Source organism: Homo sapiens, chromosome 15, assembly GCF_000001405.40.
Source record: "Homo sapiens chromosome 15, GRCh38.p14 Primary Assembly".
NCBI lineage: Eukaryota > Metazoa > Chordata > Mammalia > Primates > Hominidae > Homo > Homo sapiens.
The window spans coordinates 25,431,040-25,452,383 of record NC_000015.10 but is presented as its reverse complement, the minus strand read 5'-3'; the positions used below and the strand labels follow the sequence as shown (position 1 = coordinate 25,452,383).

The window sequence follows — 21,344 nt, the reverse complement described above, 5'->3', positions numbered from 1 at the left end:
TTTCTATTAACTCCATCTATTTTCATTTCATATTTTTTCTCTTCTGCCTTCTTTTGAATAATCAGCTTTTTTGCTATTCTATTATTCTCCTCTATTAGCTATTCTTGAATATTTTAATAATTAGCTAGAGATTCAATACAAACTCCTTATGTTCTACAGTCTACCTTAAGCTAGTTGTTTTTACCACCTCCTGAGGGTGCAAGAACTTTACAACACATGTAATCAATTCACTGTCCTCAGTCTTTGTGCTATTGCTGGCATATATTTTTACTTCTCCATGTTATATATTTCACAATACATCATAATTATTTTTAACAGTTATTTGTTTATATTTTTCAGATATATTTACCCAATCCAGTGCTCTTTATTTCTCTTTCTTGCAGTTTTATGCTTTCATCTGGGATAACTTTCTTTCAGCCTGAAGAGTCTATTTTAAAATTTTTTCTAGAAAAAATCTGCTGGCCATGACTATTTTCAACTTATTTTTGTCTAAAACATTTTTATTTTACATTTATTTATGAAGAATATTTTCTCTGAGTATAAAATGTTAGGTTGGCTGCTTTTTTTATTTCAGGTTTCAGAGATGCCTTTCTATTTTCTCCTGGCACCTATAATTTCTGATAAAAAGTCAGCTGTAAGTTTTATTGTTGTTCCTTTAAAGGTTATGTGTCTCATTTCTCTGACCATATTTAGGGTCATCTCATTCTCTTTGGTTTTCAGCAGTCTGACTGTGGTGTGCTTCAGTGGGGTTTTCTTTTACTCTACGTAAGATTCACCAGTCTGCAGTCTGTGAGTTGATAGCCATTCAACAAAAGAAAAGAACAGCAGCTACCATTGAAATCTCCACCTGATTAGACTTACAATAATCCACACTGTCATTCTCTAATATCCATCTGATTTTTTGCACAAGCCAAACAACCAAGTTAAGTGGGAGAGGTAGTAGAAAGCAACACCCCTATGTCTTCCCAATTTTAGGTGGTGGCACTAAATCACTAATATTCTCCTTGAGGCATGGTATTGCTTTTGGTTTATTTTTTTCAAATAGAGGACTACGTTCATAGGTTTATATCACGAGAGTCCCTCATTCTATGGGTCAGTGGAACAACTGAGGATCTTGTCAGATAACAAGTATGTCTATTACAACTCACATTCAGGATCTGAGGAATTAACAGGATGGCTCATGGACCTACTGGACCCATTGAGAAATGATGTCAACTGATGTTCACAAGCCCTCATCAGGCTTGAAGGACCAGAGTGTCTTTATGGTCGCCAGGAATTATTACATGTTAGCTCAGTGACAGTGCCCCCAAATCCCTGAAAGATCTGGATATTTCCTTTCCCTTGGTGAACAGTTATTCTGCTAAACGATCGCGTAGCTCCTTCAGGAGGGCTAGAAGGAAAATATACAGCATGAACTTATTGGGTTATCCTCAGCTGTACCCAGACTCACCTTCACTCACATGACTCTGTGTCTATGAACTGACTGAGGTTTGGGATTTGGCAAGGGGCTGTGAATCTCTATTGAGGTGGCTTAAGTCAAGCTTTGGTTTACTCAGAACTAGAATTGTACTTATCTAAAAGGACACAGTAAACTGATTACCTATTTCAGTCCTTGGGACTTCATGACCAATTCACCTGTCAAAGATCCCTGTAGGCTAAACTATTCAGATTGCTACTCTAGCTCTTTTGTGCAAGATTTCACCTCCTAAATTAGACTGCACGTGGCCTGCTTAATGACTTGAACCACAATCTCTTAAATCAAAGTCTTTCCTTCAAAAGCTACTTTAGTCCAGCTGACTACAAAAGATCATTTAACTGTTTGGTCACTGTGTGCCATGGACCACTGTCCCACTGCCAGCACTACTTAGATACTTACTGTTTTCAAATCCATTTCAGACACTAGTCCCAGATTTCTATTTCTTTAAGGATCTTTTGTCATCAATTCTGTGTCAATAATACTTGTTGGTTGGAGACAACAGAATCCATAGTAACTAGTCTAGGCAGGCATGTCAGATGATCCTAGATGACCCTTATGCTCAAGTATTTGCCGGAAGGACTCACAGGACTCAGAAAAGCTCTTACACTCATGGTTATAGTTCATTACAGCAAATGGATACAGATTAAAATCAGCAAAGGGAAAAGGTACATGGGATGAAATCCAGGAGAAACTAGGTCCAGGCTTCCAGATATCTTCTCTGCTGGAGTCACATGGAGATACACTTAATTGTCTCTGCAATAATGTGTAACACATATGAAGTAGCTTCCTGGTTGGCAAGACTTCATAAATTTTGCCATTATTTGAAGATAACCCACACCTTGGTGTCCAGGGTTTTCACAGGTATTAGTGGTCAGTCACATAGGCATATAGTACCTGTATGACTTCTATTCCAGCCACCGCAAACTTCTCCTCTCCCTGCTGGCTCCTGAGCCAAAAACAGGCATTTACCATAAATCACTTTGTTAGGATGAACTTATCTGGCCAAACTGATACAGCATGACCCACAGCCTCAGGTATATAAAACACTCTCATCAGGCAGAATGTTTCAGGGTCTCAGAGGTTAGTCAGGGGCTAGTCAAGGACCAATCCTGAAGGCAGGCCTTTTTTTTTTTTTTTTTTTTTTTTTGAGACGGGGTCTTGCTCTGTCGCCCAGGCTGGAGTGCAGTGGCATGATCTCAGCTCACTGCAAGCTCTGCCTCCCAGGTTCACGCCATTCTCCTGCCTCAGCCTCCTGAGTAGCTGGGACTACAGGCACCCGCCACCATGCCCAGCTAATTTTTTGTATTTTTAGTAGAGACTGGGTTTCACCGTATTAGCCAGGATGGTCTCGATCTCCTGACCTGGTGTTCCACCTGCCTCAGCCTCCCAAAGTGCTGGGATTACAGGCGTGAGCCACCATGCCCAGCCAAGGCAGGCCTTTTTTTGGAACCTACAGGGTTTGACCAACCCAGGACTGCTGAGTTAACCCTTTCCTGTGCAGCAAGAAAAGATTTATTTAAAAAAAAAATGGAAAATCACAGTTTAATCAGAAGGGATGAAAAGACAGCTTCTAGCTTGTATTTCTGAGAACATTTCCCAGAACCATATCATAAAACTGGCCTGCTAAGGAAGATGTCTCTGCTAACCCAGAACAAGGTTAAATTGCATGTGGTTTATGGTTATATATGGGAATGCCCTGGTTCTTATGGAAAAGATACAGGGATAAAGTGTTACAAAGTCTGTAACTTATGACAAATGGGTCCATAGCTGGAGATAACAGATAAATGGATAGATAGAACAAATATGGCCAGATATAAACTACCAGGACATCTAGCTAAAGAAAATATGGTTATTGATTATACTATGCTCTAAACTTTTCTTTAGATTTAAAAAATGACCAAGAAATAAGGAAGTACAAAAAACTATGGCATGTTTCATATGAGAAGTGTTTGACATAAAAGGGAAATTGGGAGGCTGGGTGTGGGGCTCACGCCTGTAATCTTAGCACTTTGGGAGGCTGAAGTGGGAGGATCGCTTGAGCCCAGGAGTTCAAGACCAGTCTGGGTAACATAGTGAAACCTAATCTCTACTTAAATATATATATATAAAATAAATTGAAAAAAAGAGAGAAATAGGAAAAAAGCTACTGAGAACTAGATAGTAGGTTTAGTAGGTTTGAAAGTCATGAAGAAGTTCAGACTGAAGGACTTCTAGATGTGAGGAGATTACAATCAGGTAATAAAATATAGTACAGTTGACACTTGGCACACATAGAAATGCCACAGAAATATGGAAAAAAAGGAAAATATGATTGCCTTTGGGTGTTAACCTGTTGGCTTATTCACATATGGACCAAAGCAGAGTTTGTTATAAGTCACTTAAAAAAAAGAGAAATGGCTTCCAGGCCTGCAAGATATAATGGAAGCCTGACATTTCTAAAGAAAAGGGCTAGTCATCAATGAAAACACTGGATAAAATCAGACTAGGAAAGTCTGGCTGTAACTTCCTAGGGGATATTTGCCCAAAAGCTTCAACATACTCTCATTCCCGTCAATGATGCTTCACGGAAGTTGAATGTATCAGGTATCAATTGTCCAGTTCTTTCAGTTCCTGTTCTGTCACTTCCCTTTGTCTAGATTTCAAGCTTCCTAAGAAGCTTCTGTTATGTGGGGACCCTGTGTGTCTTCTTACAGGGAAAAAATGCTCTGGTCACCTGCATACCAGTCCTTTCCAGCATTCCAGTCCCTCTGATGGGTACTTTTCAATTTAAATCAATAAACTGGCATTCCGATTTTATAATTCCATCTCTTGAGTTTGTTAAATGTGAGTTTGATTGGTGGGCTGGCTTAAATCAGTTTCTAAGCCTGCAATCATGAGGGCCAGACCTGAACTCTAGTCAACTCACCAAGTTTGGCTCGTTTGTTCATTTGTGTGGCAAATGCGATTGGTGCCCTGGATCTTCCTACTGTATTGTATGCCAGTCCTAGTTTCAATTGCCAGCTCCTGCATTTCTTGCTTAGGGCTCTCTCTGACCAGCTGGAGCTGCTGTGTCCCAACCACAGCAAGCCAGCCAGATGAGGATAACAACATTATACACTCACAGGATAATTGTGAAGTGTGTGTTCTACACTGGCTCCCAGAGTTCTTCAACATAAGCAAATTCCAGTTGCCCAAAGTGGACACTTGATTGATAATACACCCTTTTTGGTTTCCTCCCTTCCGTAACTCACTTACTTTCTTACCAGTGTTTCTAGGGATCACCTCCCAAATAAATTACTTGCACTGAAATCATTGTCTCAAGGTCTGTTTTCGTGAGAAACACAAACTAAGACAACTTCGTCCATTCATTCATCATTTATTGAGCTTAATCAATTATTAATAAGTCCTTAAGGCACAAAATAAGTCCTTAGCAACATGTTATCTCTTTTCTCATCACAGTATTATCCCCTTTACAAATGAAGAAATCAAGGTTGAAATAAATTAAGTAGCTGACTCAGTATCACATAATCAGGACAGAGTGCTGGAAAGGACTGATGGCAGATGAAGATGGCTGAGACTCCCAGATGCCCAGTCTTGAATGGAGAGTATAAAAAATGAGTTTTCTGCTGGGGTAATAATTTGAGTATATTATAAGATTGCTACGAAGCAATGAAAAAAGGGATTATTGAATGAGGAAACATTTCAATGAAATATATTTTTGAAATTTTTGTTTTCTAGGAAAGCAACATGCTACAATAAGAGCGCACACACATACACCTGTGGGTTTAAATCCTAGCACTACTAGTTTTTAGCTGTAAGACATGGGCAAGTTGCTTACTTACTCTAAGCTCAATTTTCTAATCCATAAAGTATATAATATCCAAGAATGTTGTATGAATTAATGAGATTTATTTAAACAACTGGCACCTAATGAGTGTACAAATTTAATTTGCAGAAATGTACTGTCCTTTCAGGAACTTTGTGGTAAGTACTGAAATATGGATGCAATCAGTACTATGCTTAGCAGTAACTTAAAAAAAGAAGCAATATAAAATTTGTATGTCATAAATGATAACTATATTACTATCTTTAAAAATCTTGGTCTTTCCATATGTAGTATGCTAATTTAATGTTACAAAATAAAAGTAAAATCAATAATTTTAAAAAGTCAGACTTTAAGTATAAAATTTTGTTTGAAGCAATGCCAAAGAATCCACATAGTAACATTTATCATTTTGATAACAGAATTTTGTGTTCTGTATGTGGGCCTCAAGCAGTACTAAAACAAAATAGTGTATCAATTATAAATGATACTCATGATTCTTCCCTAGTCAGATGTTTTTTTCAGTTGAGAGATTCTGAAGAAAAACAATAAGTGTAGAATGTCTGTACCATCTTTAATACTAAGATTTAATTGAATCAATGCATTTCCTTAGATTTAAAAATCATTTTGTTAGAGTCTGTGTTAGAATCAGTATGATACGTATTTAAAATGGAATTAGAGATATGGACTGTAGTAGGAATGACTTCAAATAACTCAAATGATGCGCATGTCAGAAAGAAACAATTTCTAAGGGCTGCTTCATTGATTCAAGTGGAACTGTTTTATTCAGAACAGCTCAGATTAGCAGCAGCAGCAGCTGGTGTTCAATGAAATGCTTCCCTTTTCCACCTACTCTCCAGCTGGGTTAAGACAGGCACAAAGAGATTGGGATGACCAAGGTCAAAGCATGATTTGATAGACTTCCAGGTTTTTGCTCCAGTAACTTCTTGTGTAGTCTTGGCTATAGAGGCAATTCGTGAAATTGGTGGTTGAAAAAGTCATAGCTTTAGAAGGACTTCATAGATCATCTTGTTCAATATCTTAATTTTATACTTCATATACCACGGTTCTAATTAAAATACTTTATTGTTGCATATTTATTGGAATTGACAAGAAGTTAAGATTTCTTACATTTATTTCATTTGCCTGATTTTTCTGTTCCCACTGAATTGTATAAGCAGGCACTACTGCACTTTGTATCTCTACTTGACATAGCTGAAAAATGAAACATTCAAAGATACACTACTTTATTACATGTTAGCTCAGTAAAGGGGCCCTCTATTAGACATGCTGGTCTCAGTTCTTAACTTTTACACTCACAAAGCCCGATTCACTCATTCAAACCTTTTTTGAGGAGTTACCAGGTTTTAGCCATTGAGATAGATACTGGGAACACAAGAAGTCAAGGGTGCTCTCCTCTCTCAAGAAGCTTAAGAGAAGACAGAAGTGCTAAGCACATACATCGAGTATGCGGAGGGCACACAGAGGTATAAGCAATGACCCTCCTTGAGTAGATCTGAAAGGCTTCTCAGAGGAGGAGCTTGAACTTGTCTAAAAGGTAGAATAAACTGCATGCAAAAGAGCTCCAAATGACTCTCAAGCTTAAGTATTGCCTAAGCAATACATTCATGTGGGAAGTGGGAGATGGGGCTGGAATGGAGGCAGAGGCCACATCCAATGGGCCGTTTTTGGAGTTTAGACATTATTCAGAAGGCCATGGTGAGCCACTGATAGAGTTAAGAAAGGCAGCAAGGTGATAACACATGTTTCTTAAGAAAACATACTGTGATGAGGACATTTGGCAGGAAAGTAGTATAATATGAACCAGCATTCTCTGAATGTTGGGGTTAAAATAGTGAATGAGGTAATATGATCTTACCCTTCTGGAACTTACAGTCTAGTTCAGAAACACAACGGGTCTAAACACTAAGGGTCTAAATTAAGGTAGTAGCAGTGGAAATATACAGAAGGAAATGGATGTTATGATAATGATGATGATGATATTGCTTATTACCATTTATTGAACACCTCCCATGTGTCAGGCACTAAACACCTCATATGCACTATCTTTGTCCATTCTCCACACAGTAGCTAGAGTTATTCTATGGATCTTGTCATAACTCTCTCAAACCCTTCCAGAGGCTTCCCACCTCATTCAGCACAAATACCTAAGTTCTTAGGAAAAGCTAAAAAGTCCTCCAGGCTGTGACCCACTGTGACTTCTCTGAGCTCATCTTCAACTCCTCCTTTCTCTCTCTAGCCACAACGCCTTGCTACTGTTCCTAGATGACTCTAGGCACCTTTCTGCTTCAGGGCCCCCTCTGTCTAGAAGGTTGTTTCCTTTGTATTTCCACAGTTCATTCCTCACTTCTGTCAAGCCTCTGATTAAACGAATTCTTTTCAATAAGATCTTCCCTGGCCACTCGGCATGACGGAACTCCTGTAGCACTCCCTATTCCCTTTGCCTTGCTTTGTATTTCTCCTTAACATATCATATTCTGACATAACACATATGTGTTGGTTTTCTTCCTCCATGGATCACAAACTCCATGAAGGTAGACTGTTTTTGTTCATTGCTGTATTCTCAGCACTGATAACAGTGCTCGCACATATCCATTCAATAAATATGTACTGAATAGATGAATGAAGGATTACAATGGTCCTATGAGGATGGTACTATTATTTTTTCCCACTTTCCTAAAGAGGAAACAGACACCAATTGAGGTACTCAAGGTTGTATTTCTGGTAACTGGCAGAACTGGGATTTGCGTGGGGCGGGGGGAAGCCTGCCTTTGTTGAGTTGTACTATGTGCCCAGCATTATTCTAAGAACTTTATGTACATTAACACTTAATCCCTACACCTCCATTTTATAGATGAGGAAACTAAATCAGAAAGGGGTTTACAATCTTGCCTGGTATCTGTGCACTTGCCAGTAAGTTGGGGGCCTGTGCTCTCAGCTACTTTGCTACACTAATTCTAAAGCCAATTCTTTAGAGAGATACAACTTTGCCTCTTAATTGCCAGGAGAGTGAGGGAAAGGAAGAAATCCAGGATTGCTACCATTATTATGACTGTGGACCGCCATAGATGGTAGAGTCACCAATCAAGTCAAAGAATGTAAGATGAGTTGGTTTCATTCTCCTCTAACTCTAGACTTCCACATCCAACTGCCTCCTGATATCTTTGCTTGGATATTAAGACACAAGGTCAGCTGCAGTTAAAGGGATTTAGAATAACCATGGCAGATCATAGAAGTTAGTAGCTGTCTTACATCAGAGTTGACCTGGTACACAGGACCTGCCCAATGAAGTCCTCAGGGCCCCAACTTGTTGCTCTGCAATCCCTAGAATGTTTCCCAGTGTCTTAGTCTTGTTTATGCTGCTGTAACAAAATACCTGAAACTGGGAAATTTGTGAAGAACAGAAATATACTTTTTCACAGTTCTAAAGGCTGGGAAGTACAAGCTCAAGACCCCCAGCAGGTTTAGTGTCTGGTGAGGGCTGCAGTTTCCAAGGTGGGACCTTACTGCTATATCCTCTGGAGGGGGTGAATGCTGTGTCCTCGTGTGGCTAAAGGGATGGAAGGGCAAAAGAAGGCCTAAGCTAGTTCCCTCCAGTCCTTTTACAAGGTATTAATCCATCCATGAGGCAGGGCCCTCATGATTTCATCAGCTGTTAGTATCATCACAATGGGGATTAAGTTTCAACATGAATTTTGAAGGGGACACCATCATTGAAACCACAGCATCTTTCAACATGGTTTACTACCCCAACTATTTAATACATACATTCATCAGAAAAGGACAAAAGAAAGGGCAAGTGACACCCAATTTCTTTTAGAAAATGATCTGGAAGTTGCATACATAATTTCTGCTCACATCCTACTGGCCAGAACTTAAGAGATATGGCCACACTTAAGGGTGTATTATAGGCAACCATGTGTCTGGCTAGATGTTCTATTATCATGGATAAAGAGCAGAATGCATAAGAGTCAGCTAGGAAGCAGTTTGTACAACAGATATCCAACAGGTATCTCAAATTTAACATTACCAAAACTAAATTCCTGCTTGTTCTCCCAAAACCTGCTCCTTTGCACTGTTATCACATCTCAGTCCATGGTGGAAGACAGAACAAACTCAGGGGTTTGATGTTAATCATGTTGAGCTTGAGGTGCCTGTAGAACACCCAGTACAGGTTTCCAATAAGGGGTTGAAGATACTGTGTCTGATGCTTCTGACTGAGATCTGTGTTCAAGATTCAGACTTGATTCCTGACTGAAATAAGTGATAGAAGAGTATACGTAAATGGTACTGTCAAAGATTATAACATGGTAGGCAGAGAACCAAGAATGGGGAGGGAGGATTCTGCACAGGAGACCTGAGAAAGAGTGGCCTAAGACAAGGCAGAAGAGCAGAGAATGTAAGGTGACAGAACCAAGGGAGCAGTTTCCAGGAGGCAGTGGTCAGCAGTGTGGAAGGCTGCAGAGAGATCAGATGTTATGAAAACTGAGAAGCAACCTTTCAATTTGGCCATTATGCCACAGTGAAATTGATACAAGCAATGTATACAGTAAAATGGAGGGAGCTGCTAAATTTCTGTAGTTGAAGAGGAATTTGGAAGGTAATAGCAATCTAAGTATAGACAGCTTTTCTAAATAGAAGGGACAAAGTAGAGGGAGAATTTATGAACAGGAGTGGGAATATTTAAGGGAGTAAGAGTCTTGAGTCAATCTCTCTTCCCTCAAGAAATAAAAATTACCTGTAGAAAGGACAGAAGGATGGCTTCTACCTTAAGACTCGAGGTCAGAAAGAATGCAAATTTAGACAGGTCTGCAGGCATAAGGGTGGGGGTATGTAGGAGTTCATGCCTGATGTGTGCAGTACTAAACAATGATACATATACTACTACTACTACCACTACTAAGCACTAACATTTACTGAGCACTTATCATATGCCAGTGTTCTTCATGGAGCTAAGTTTGCTTAACAGTATTTCTTAAATAATGGGAGCTATTCATATATTGAAAGCTTAGTGTTTTTCAGAAGTTGAGTGTGTAACATTTGGATGTGGCCTAAAAATAGCAACCGTGACTTCTATCCCACCATATCTGAATTTTGTCTCTTCCATGCTCGACTTATTTCTGATCCTGGGGCATGCTGAGTAGTAAAAAAAGTTGTTCTTGCATTTTGATTCATCTGTTATGACTGGCATCAATAAGAAATCTTCAGCAATAAAACAGCTCTGTCAAAAAACAACTTCACCAGCAATTTAGGGCAAAATGTTTCCTTTAAAAAAAAGTTTGTTGGCTGGGCATGGTGGATCATGCCTGTAATCCCAGCACTTTGGGAGGCCGAGGCGGGCGGATCACGAGGTCAGGAGATCGAGCCCATCCTGGCTAACACGGTGAAACCCCGTCTCTACTAAAAATACAAAAAATTAGCCAGGCGTGGTGGCGGGTGCCTGTAGTCCCAGCTACTTGGGAGGCTGAGGCAGGAGAATGGCATGAACCTGGGAGGTGGAGCTTGCAATGAGCCAAGATTGCGCCACTGCACTCCAGCATGGGCGACGGAGCAAGACTCTGTCTCAAAAAAATAATAATAATAATAAAATAAAAAGTTTGTTAGTATTAGCAGATACATATTACTAGGTACCCCCCATGCTCAATGAAGTGTTGGGTTACTCTGAAAAAGTGTCCAATCTTACAGGTGTGACTTCCTCTGGAACTGCAAGTTCTTGAGGGCAGGGATAGAGATTGTTCATCTTTTATTGTTTCCCAAGGTCTGGCACATAAATAGTAGTTCAAGTAGTCCAACATATGACACATAAATAGTTCTGGGTAAACATTAGCTCAAAGTTTGCTCAAGGCATTGATGCAGATGCTTATAAAATTAAATTGCTCTTTTTACTGTATACCTGAAATGAGAAAATTATTAGAAACTACTGGGTCTCATTTGGACTAGAAAAGTCTGAAGAAATCACTGTTCACTTAGTAGATACAAAGTTGTTTTTCTGGGAAAAACACACCTAAAAAAAAAAAAACACATGGGTCTGATATGGGAGAATTTTTTTATTTTTCATATAAACAGGTGTATAGGGAAGTGGAACACTGCTAGTATCTTAAGGATTCCTGAAAGTATTTATGTTGGTAAGTTTGATGAGCAAACATTTCTAAATTTGAAAATGGATAAAACAAAAAGCACAGTGAAATCTTGAAAGAATTCTAATACTAATGTCACACATAAGAATACAGATTTAAAATTAATGAACTAAAACGGATATACGTAATTTCTCCAGGAGGAATTAAGATCCTCCTTGATCTCAGTAAAGCAATGAATAGTCATTCTGACATCTAGCTAAAAGCAGACTTATTTCCCTTCGGTCTTTAATCTTTTTGGAACTCAGGGATTTCCGCCACACTTTGATACACCAGGCCATTATAAAATTACACTTAATTTATTGTCAATTTCTACTTAAAAGGAAGAATACCTATAAGTATCTCCATATGCTAGATATAGTAGAAATGGTATGCTTTAATTAGTCCAACAATAAAGTCCTTAAAGATTTACATTCTTTGTTGCCTATTTTGAAAACTTGCGAAGATAAATTTTTTTAAAGATTATAATTCTTACTAGTCCTTTCCATGAAATATAACAGCAAATAGTTTCCAAATGTGGATGTGTAATGAGAGGAAATGAAAAGTGAGTAAAGAGCTGAGTTAAAACATCTTAAAATCGAATATGGCTTAATACTATCATTATCATCAGTTGTCCTGGAATAACTTAAATTCTTCTAGCTTATTGTTGGTTTTTCAATGGTTGGTTATAGTTGTGAGGCGGATACACACACACACCCACACACTTGGCTATACAAAAAAGATGTTCCGAGACTGACAGTTAAAAATTACACTGCTGGCCGAGCACTGTGGCTCATGCCTGTAGTCCCAAAACTTTGGGAGGCCGAGGTGGGAGGATCACTTGAGGCCAGGAGCTCGAGACCAGCCTGGGCCTAACATAGCAAGACACCATTTCTAAGTTTAAAAATAAAAATAAATTTAAAAAAGATACACTGCTATGTACGACTGTTGATATAAAAAATCTGAATACTAGACATGGGTACTCATCTAGTACTTCAAGGGCTTATCAACAAAGTTGCAAGTTGTAACACTATGAATTGTTAGTGATACTCTTTTGGCTTTGCTAGCAAGTGTTGTAAAGCTATACACACACACACACACACACACACACATACACACACACACCTTTTAAAATGGTGACCCTGGTACCAAATATGACTTTAAATGGATTTAATTTTAATGGCTTTAACTACGTTCAGCTGTCATATGGATCAAAATTAGCCTCTATCCAGCTGGGGTCAACCAGGGAGCCACTTTTCTTAACCGACGACCTACTGAACGTCAACAACTGCAGGAGACGGGACTTTACCTTCGTCTCTGGTAAACTAGTTGACACATCCTGTGTTGGCAAGAGGCCTAAGTAGATGACCTTGGTCCTCTAAAATCTGGCCTGCACTCTCGGGGCACCCCTGCAACATCTACAAAGGCAGCTCCAGATAGAAAAGGGTTGGGGTCGAAAAGCCAATAACGGCAGGCACCTGCCCCGCCTCGGGGCTGGGGGGCTATTCCAGCGGCTTCAGCTAACTTTCAGAGCCATTCGTTTCCCAACAAAGTCTGAGGCGTTCCTCTGCTGGGTACACCAAGGGGCTCTGCAACCCTCCTGGGGGGGGGGGTGCCCAGAGGGCTTCCGGAAGTCCCAGGTTTATTCTTTCGGGTCACAGACAGCAGAAACTAAAAAGAGGGATTACCCTTTCTGTCCAGTCGCAAGATGGCGACCGAGCCTGGTGGGACTCCGAGGGGCCGCAGGCCACCTCCTCTTCCCAATGGCCCGTGCGCCGGCGGCGACGGCAAGCGGGAGGGAGGCGGGGCCGGCGAAGGAAGGAGGGGCGGAGCGCGGCGCCCTCCCGCGCGTCTTGGCCCCGCCCCACGTCCCCGCGTCCCGGCCTGGAGCCCTCGCCCGGCCGGGCGGCGCGCGCTGCCTGCCGGGATACTCGGCCCGCCCAGCCAGTCCTCCCGTCTTGCGCCGCGGCCGCGAGATCCGTGTGTCTCCCAAGATGGTGGCGCTGGGCTCGGGGTGACTACAGGAGACGACGGGGCCTTTTCCCTTCGCCAGGACCCGACACACCAGGCTTCGCTCGCTCGCGCACCCCTCCGCCGCGTAGCCATCCGCCAGCGCGGGCGCCCGCCATCCGCCGCCTACTTACGCTTCACCTCTGCCGACCCGGCGCGCTCGGCTGCGGGCGGCGGCGCCTCCTTCGGCTCCTCCTCGGAATAGCTCGCGGCCTGTAGCCCCTGGCAGGAGGGCCCCTCAGCCCCCCGGTGTGGACAGGCAGCGGCGGCTGGCGACGAACGCCGGGATTTCGGCGGCCCCGGCGCTCCCTTTCCCGGCCTCGTTTTCCGGATAAGGAAGCGCGGGTCCCGCATGAGCCCCGGCGGTGGCGGCAGCGAAAGAGAACGAGGCGGTGGCGGGCGGAGGCGGCGGGCGAGGGCGACTACGACCAGTGAGGCGGCCGCCGCAGCCCAGGCGCGGGGGCGACGACAGGTCAGTGTTGCCGCGGCCTGCGCCAGGCGGCGCTGGCTCCCCTCCGTCACTCGGCCGGCCTTCGGGGCCCGCTGTGGCGAGGTCGACACCCCCCTTCCCCGCCCCCCGCCGCCGAGGCGAGTGTTTGGGGGCGCGTGGTCCGAAGGGGCTGGTGCCAGAAGTAGGCCCCTGGTGGCCGCGGCTGCTGCAGCCGTAACTGTCAGTCCTGGCTGAGCGACGGCGGGAGGGTTTTGTCGCCCGAGGGGACGCGAGCGGGCCCGGGGCGGGGCGGGACGTGCGAGGCGTCGAGATTTGGGCCTCCTAGGAGCCAGGCTCTTCGAGCCAGCCGGGGCCCCAGACAGGGAAGGGCAGGCCCTTTCCTTCAAAGGGGAGCCCTTTCTCGGCGTTTTCAAGGTTTTTGGCTCTCTTGGGGAAGACATATTTAGCCGTGTGCTTGGTGGGTTGGGGTTTTGGGGGTGGATTGATGGGAAGGGAGGGCGGATGAAGTGGTATGTCAAGCCCAAGGGTTGTGCGCACAGGTTACTCTGTGTTACCGGCCACCAGGATTTCTGAAGTTGAACGTGAGTTATTGGCTTTGCCAGAGACTGCTGTGTTATATGCAGACCTGTATGCAAGCAGTTGGCCTTTTTTCCCCCCCCTTTTCAGTGTAGAAAATGAAAAGGATGCTTTCCTCATCTTGGTGGTAAAGGCTTTTGTTGGTAAAGGTAGAATTGAATGTACCAAATGCCTTAGTCCGTAAAATTTTAGAAATAATTTTAATACAGACACTGGTGAAGCTTGGCAACCTTGAAAGAGAATTTAGCGTCTACATTTTTTAAATGACTTTTTATGGATATGCTAAATTAGTAACAGTCCAAAATCTGTTTGAGATTATTAAGTGGCGAGGGTGCTGTTGAAAATGTAAACTAATAGCATATGGGGTTTACAGTGCACAGTTAACCTCAATCATGAAGAAATGTGGATATGACCCGTAATTTTGGATCATTTTACTGCCTGCAATATTGAGAGAAGCAGCAAATTATTACAGTTTTTTTTGGGAGACGACCTAAAGTTTAAGAAATACAACTGTTGAAAGTTACCTGTCAGAGACACAAAGGTACCCAATCAATCTTGTTGAATAAATTGGACAAGTGGGATAAGGTGTTTGTCTCACACTTCTGATCAATAAGTACTCTTACTTAAGAAGTGATTTGGTAAATCATGTAAAATTTAGAATTTAGGAGAGATAAGAAAGTTGTAACTTGGTGTGTATAGTGGAAATAGCTTTGAAATTAGATCCTGTTTTTAAATCCAAGCTACTTACCACATTTTTAGTGAAATGAATACATTATTAATGATGCTACTGATAAGCCCTAAGGATGACCAGAAGCCCTTTTAAGAAACACTAATACAGTTGACCAAAAAATAAAAAAGGAAATAGCTTCAAGAAATAATTTTCAATCTTTGTGTATTTATAATATACACAGGAGAAATAAAAGAACAGAATATGAAGAGGTAACTTATAATCTTTACAAAATTAGAATGTAAACTATGCTAGTCTTACTGTGTCAATATTTATTAACCTGCATTAGTTTGCTAAGTAGTATGCTCACTATCCTCTGGACATTGCCCCTGTCCCTGAGGAGCTTAACTTTATACAGAGATACAAAATACTGTGTTTTGATTTCCTTTCAGAGGATTTATAAGCTACTTATGTTTTATCTGTCCTAAATTCTGCCCTTTTTTTTCCCATGGCTGAAAAAATAACTTCCTAAGAAAGGTACATACTAGTCAGAGGTGTGGGGAAAACGTGTTCTCATCCCACTTGTGCAGTCCATTTAACAGGATTTATTGGGTACCTACAGTGTCTTTGACATGTAACATTTAATCAGTTGTATTTCTTAAACTTTAGATAATTTCTATTTCGATCATTTCTATTTCAATCTCCTCCCTCTCCCCTCCAAAAAAATTTACTGTGTAAACTGTGATAATACACTGTTTCTCTCAGTGTCAGTCAGTGGAATGATCCAGATTTATAGGTCATAGCAAAATTTTTCATCCCAAGCTCTTGAAATGATGTTTCCAAATGTCCATTTTCTTAAATGACTGCTAGTTATGTTCTCCAATCATGTTACACATATTTTGTTTAGACTTATAATTGTGTAGGTCTAAATGTAGAAACATTACATTATGTACATATGCAGCTGCTGAAAGAAAATTAGTTTTCTAATTTTTAGATCGGGGTGAAGACAAACTTTTAGAAGTGATCTTTCGGTAAAATACTGGATGAAGTCTTAGGTGCTCTTTTTATGTTGGTTCAGGACAAAAGTTTTTTGACTGCTTTTTGAGTTTTCCCCTCACTGCCAAATGTAAGGATAAAATGTAGTAACAAGACATCTTGGTATGTATAGTGGTAATATCTTTGGAATTAGACCCTAATTTTAATTCTGGCCTTATTAATCTTGGTAAGCCACAGTTTTGTCATCTGTAAAATGGGTTGGTGAAACTTCCCCAGAGTTGTGAGGCTTAAAGTATGTAAAACGCCTAACACGTAGGCACTCAATAAGTATTACCTTAGAAATCTTCCTATCCAGTTTTTCTGAATGGTCTGGAAGCACCTTGTATGTAGTGGACTACAGCATGTTATCCTTTATGTTGTTTATTTCTTTTCTCATTAGCTATGAACTTTTTAAGGCCAGGAATTCCTAGTGTTTACCAGAGAATGTGTTACTAGATGTCTTAGTCTGTTCTGGCTGCTATTACAAAACACCACAGACAGCATGGCTTATAAACAACAGAAGTTTATTTCTCACGGTTCTGGGGGCTGAGAAGTCCAAGATCAAGGTACCAACAAATTTGACATCTTAGTGAGGGCCCTCTTCCCTTGTTCATAGATAGCTAGCTGTCTTTTCACCATTACCTCATGTAGTAGAAGAGTAGACGGGGCTCTATAGGGCCTCTTTTATAGAGGCATTAATTCCATTAATGATGGCAAAGCTTCCCAAAGGCCCCACCTCTTAATACTATCACCTTGGAGGTTAGGCTTTCAACATGAATTTTGGGGGACACATTCAGACCACAGCACTAGAGCAGGCATGAATTGGTTATTGGTAAATCAGTAAATGATCAACTAACATTTATTAGGTTCCTCCTGTGGCTTCTATGAGCTGAGCTAAGTACAGGACCCACAAAGACAAGAAAGATGTCTGTCTTTTTTGAATGCTTATAGTTGAGTGACTTTCTCACATTTGTGTGTGTGTGTGTGTGTGTGTGTGTGTAAAACCCTATCACATAATGGAACTTCATTTTCCCATGCCCTTCCAATCTAAGAGCAGTTCTATGGACTCAATACCTCCTACCCACCAGCTGCTACTGTAAAGATTTACTTTTTTACTCCTTTTAAAAAGTTCAACCCTCTGGCACATGCATTACTTCATTCCTTGGTCCCAGCCCACCACCCCAGTATCTGGCACGTAGTGTATTAGTATTTGTGTGTGTGTGTGTGTGTGTGTGTGTGTGTGTGTGTGTGTGTGTGTGTGTATGTATATAGAATTTAAAATTTTTACTCCGGCAGTTGTCTTCAAATACTCTAATTTTGGGGGGCATGATTATCATTCTGTCTTCTGGCAGTACATGGATAGATGCTACCTGAGTAGGATTGTCTATGAGGTCAGCTGCTCCAGTCATTTTATACAAGAGGAAATTGGAGTGCAAAGCTTTAAAATGATTTTCTTAAAGTCACCCAGGTGTCAGAACCAGAACCAGAGTCCATGTCTCTAGTTCAGGACTCTGCACACATTGGCACATGTTCTGTCCTACCTTTTGGGATGAATAGTTATACTTGCTTTGTGATTACTCACCCACCTTTTTGGAGACATATGAGTGTTTTGTACACTATTAATAGAAGGCAGCCTTCACAAAATGCCATCTGCAGATCTGTTATTTCTTCTAATAAAGGAAATGATGTAAAATTACCTTAAATAGAAATAGTGTTAATTCTTCTGGAGACATATTCCATAATCCAAACACGAAATGTTTGAAATACTTGAAGATGCCATATAAATAAGTCCTTTGTAAAAAGATAATATTAAAAATTTTTGTTTTATAGAGATGGGGGTCTCACTGTGTTGCCCAGGCTGGTCTTGAACTCCTCAGCTTTTACTTTAGCTTCCCAGTGTGTTGGGATTACAGGCATGAGCCACAATACCTGGCCAAGTCCTTTTTTTTAATCAAATGACTTATTAATACACAGTTTCTTTGCCAGCTTTTGTTTTCATTTGCTATCAAAAATGTTGCTTAGTAGTGCTTTGATCTGAGTTATCAATAACAGGTAAATGCCATTATGGATAATAATTCAAAAAGAAGCTTATTAATTATTAGGCCTATCTGAGAGTGAAGTAAAGTTAGCATTTTCTTTTTGTTTATTTTACTTATTGTTTATTTGTTTAGAGACAGGGTCTCGCTGTGTTGCCCAAGTTGGAGTGCAGTGGTGCTGTCATAACTCATTGCAGTCTCAGGCTGGAGTGATCCTCCCATCTCACCCTCCTGAGTAGGTGGGATTAGCATATGCCACCATGCCTGGCTAATTTTTTTATTTTTTAATTTTTTTGTGGAGATGGGGTCTTGCCGTGTTCAGGTTGGTTTCAAACTCCTGGTCTCAAGCGGCTTGGCCTCCCAAGGTGCTAGGATTACAGGTGTGAGCTACCATGCCCAGCTGAGCATTTTTAAAAAATACTGGTCTTTGTACATGAGTCGTTACTATTTGATTCTAAGCCTTATGACTGATATCCCTAAAAATTATTTATAAAATTTTAAGTGCATCAGAGTCATTGAAATGGAATGAGCACTGTCTTTTGGTCTTGAGGTTGTTTTAACTAGCTTCGTAATGGTCATGAGCAGGTTATTTAGCTTTTGAAGCCTTCGTTCCTTCTTTTGTCAAATGAAAGTGATAGTTGCTTTGTTTTAAAAGAGTATGCTTTTCAAACGTGATCATTCTTGAAAATGTAGATTAAGAGCTTTTTAGAGGCCAAGTGCCATGGCTCACGCCTGTCATCCCAGCACTTTGGGAAGCCGAGGCGGGCGGATCACGAGATCAGGAGATCGAGACCATCCTGGCCAACACGGTGAAACCTCATCTCTACTAAAATACAAAAAAAAAATTAGCCGGACGTGGTGGCGCATGCCTGTAGTCCCAACTACTCAGGAGGCTGAGGCAGGGGAAACGCTTGAACACGGGAGGCGGAGGTTGCAGTGAGCCAAGATCATGCTACTGCCTGGCGACAGAGTGAGACTGCCTCTCAAAGAAAAAAAAAAAAACTTTTTAGAAACGTTGTTTTGGGGAATTTTTAGTGTGTGAATTCATTTTAAATATGTGAACTCCATTTGACATGGACAATGGATCTTAATAGTTTGTGATACATTATTCAGTGTATTAATCAAAAGTCAAATCTCTTTTGTAATTTGCTGTACCAGACCTGTTGTGTTAATCTGATCAATGGCAAGTGAATCATAAGATTGACCTGAAAGGAAAAGATATTTTTAGGGGACATAGAATCATATTGGATAAGATTATTCCTATAGTTCATTTTCAGGAAATCTGAACAGGAATCTCGTGTAAGGAATCACATGTGAATTATAGAAGAGAGTCTGATGTAAGACTTTATTTATTAAGGTCTGCATCTGTGTTTCAAGTAAGAGCATAGAGGTAGTATATGAGCCCTGAACACTCATACAAGTAGGATAAAATTTTTCTTAAAACTGTTGGCTGGACAGTGTAGAGTCTAATGCTGTGACTCTTAACAGTTTTGTGTGTTCCAGAAGTTCATCTCCTCAGGATCAATTGAGGTTAGTCTAGCACAGACTTTAGTTATAGAAACCAAACATGAGAAAAATTTTTTGACCCATGTCTTCGTAGCATGCAGGCTTGGTAGCTCTTTCCTAGTTCTGGATGTGTGCCCGTTGTATATACTTTCAGCAATTCAGGATGTTCCTTTTCATATTTAAGACAAGCACTCTTGCATACAAATTACATAGCTGTGGGCTGAATGAAGATGCTACCATTGCTGTACTTCTACACAGGTTCTTTTCATGTAATGAAATCAGAAGGGATGGCTTTTCCATTTCAAGCTTCTGTTAATAAGTAGTCTTAGAATTGCCTTTGTGTACTGTAGCCAACACCCCAACTCATATATTTTTATAATCTTTGTGATGCAGAATAAATTCTGAAACTTTCCACCTCCTAATTAAATATAGAAATACTGAAAACAATAAAGCACCATGTATTCACTATGGACATATGTCACATTTTGTCACTTTCTTGCACTCTTGTAATCCCTCTCTAAAGCTCATGTTAAACTCATGTTCTTTATTTTCTTCTCAGATGATTCCTTTGGCACTGCATGTAACAGTACAGGAATTTCTTCCTTTCGTACTTCCAACAAATACTTTTTTGTCTCTTAACAGATGTGAACCATAATGCTGTTCTTTAGAAAGCAAAGGATGAAGTGCACAGCAGTGTTTTCTATATAAAGCTAATGGGTCATAAGGGGAAATATGGGTTATTTCCAGCTTGTTAATTGTCTTAATACATTTTTCCTAAGAATTCTATTGTGCCTCTGTGGTTATATGCACCAATATTGATAATCTTACAGCGTGCCATAAATAAGGATTTTTATATTATCTTTGCTAAATATTTTAAGTTTTTGTTTTGGGAATTGAAAAAATCTTTTGTGCATCTATGGTATGTGATACGTATACTAATGGATAAATCCTGTTTCACACAAAGATTAATTGGGTAACATTTTTCTTTCCTAGTTTTCTGAAGTCAGTGGTCATGTTGTGTGTTGGTGATTGAAAATATGCTGTTTAGGCTGGGCGCCTTGGCTCACTCCTGTAATCCCAGCACTTTGGGAGGCCGAGGCACACGGATCACCTGAGGTCAGGAGTTCGAGACCAGCCTGGCCAACATGGTGAAACCCTGTCTCTACTAAAAATACAAAAATTAGCTAGGCGTGGTGGCACACGTCTGTAATCCCAGTTACTTGGGAGGCTGAGGCACGAGAATCGCTTGAACCTGGGAGGCAGAGGTTGCAGTGAGCTGAGATCACACCATTGCACTCCAGCCTGGGCAAGCAAGATTTCATCTCAAAAAAGAAAAGAAAAGAAAAGAAAATATGCTGTTTAAGATCATTCAAATTCAGTTTCTAAGAAGTGTAAAGTTTTCCTAATTACTTAAGCTGCTTCATTCTCATTCCCTTTTGTAACACATTTTGCCATCTCTGTAACATGTTGAACATGTTTAAAGAACAGAGTGGGAGAATAGGAAGTTACGTGGATAAAGTTTGGTAATCAAGGTAGGAATACATCCTGCTTCACAGAATGGGAATATTTCTGAAAAGTTGACTGTAGTATTGAAGAACACTTAAGTGTAGTGTATTAGACGAACTGAGCTAATTTTGGTCTTTTATACAC

At 40.8% G+C, this 21,344-nt stretch overlaps 1 protein-coding gene across 34 annotated transcripts in view, besides 5 other annotated features; it reads left to right on the top strand.

Moving 5' to 3' along the window:
- Positions 12,353 to 13,298: an enhancer, noted in NCBI's record as "NANOG-H3K27ac-H3K4me1 hESC enhancer chr15:25684233-25685178 (GRCh37/hg19 assembly coordinates)". NCBI's record gives its function as "activates a minimal SCP1, AML or CMV promoter by ChIP-STARR-seq in naive H9 embryonic stem cells {active_cell/tissue: H9 hESC(naive)}" and the evidence as "EXISTENCE:reporter gene assay evidence [ECO:0000049][PMID:30033119]".
- Positions 12,353 to 14,244: a biological region, named in NCBI's record as "NANOG-H3K27ac-H3K4me1 hESC enhancers GRCh37_chr15:25683287-25684232 and GRCh37_chr15:25684233-25685178".
- Positions 13,096 to 13,435: a silencer, noted in NCBI's record as "silent region_6264". NCBI's record gives its function as "represses an Ori minimal core promoter by ATAC-STARR-seq in GM12878 lymphoblastoid cells {active_cell/tissue: GM12878}" and the evidence as "EXISTENCE:reporter gene assay evidence [ECO:0000049][PMID:35858748]".
- Positions 13,299 to 14,244: an enhancer, noted in NCBI's record as "NANOG-H3K27ac-H3K4me1 hESC enhancer chr15:25683287-25684232 (GRCh37/hg19 assembly coordinates)". NCBI's record gives its function as "activates a minimal SCP1, AML or CMV promoter by ChIP-STARR-seq in primed H9 embryonic stem cells {active_cell/tissue: H9 hESC(primed)}" and the evidence as "EXISTENCE:reporter gene assay evidence [ECO:0000049][PMID:30033119]".
- UBE3A (ubiquitin protein ligase E3A) overlaps positions 13,328 to 21,344 on the top strand; it is a 105,329-nt gene continuing 97,312 nt past the window's right edge. For 26 of the 34 annotated variants that reach the window (NR_148916.2, NM_001354546.2, NM_001354551.2 and 23 more), the window contains exon 1: positions 13,360 to 13,895. The gene's annotated coding sequence lies outside the window, so the exon portion shown is untranslated. Of the gene's footprint in view, positions 13,896 to 14,059; positions 14,332 to 21,344 lie in introns of those variants that run through there. The other 8 variants (XM_017022548.3, XM_017022547.3, XM_047433008.1 and 5 more) reach the window with 4 other exon arrangements.
- Positions 13,796 to 14,215: a silencer, noted in NCBI's record as "silent region_6263". NCBI's record gives its function as "represses an Ori minimal core promoter by ATAC-STARR-seq in GM12878 lymphoblastoid cells {active_cell/tissue: GM12878}" and the evidence as "EXISTENCE:reporter gene assay evidence [ECO:0000049][PMID:35858748]".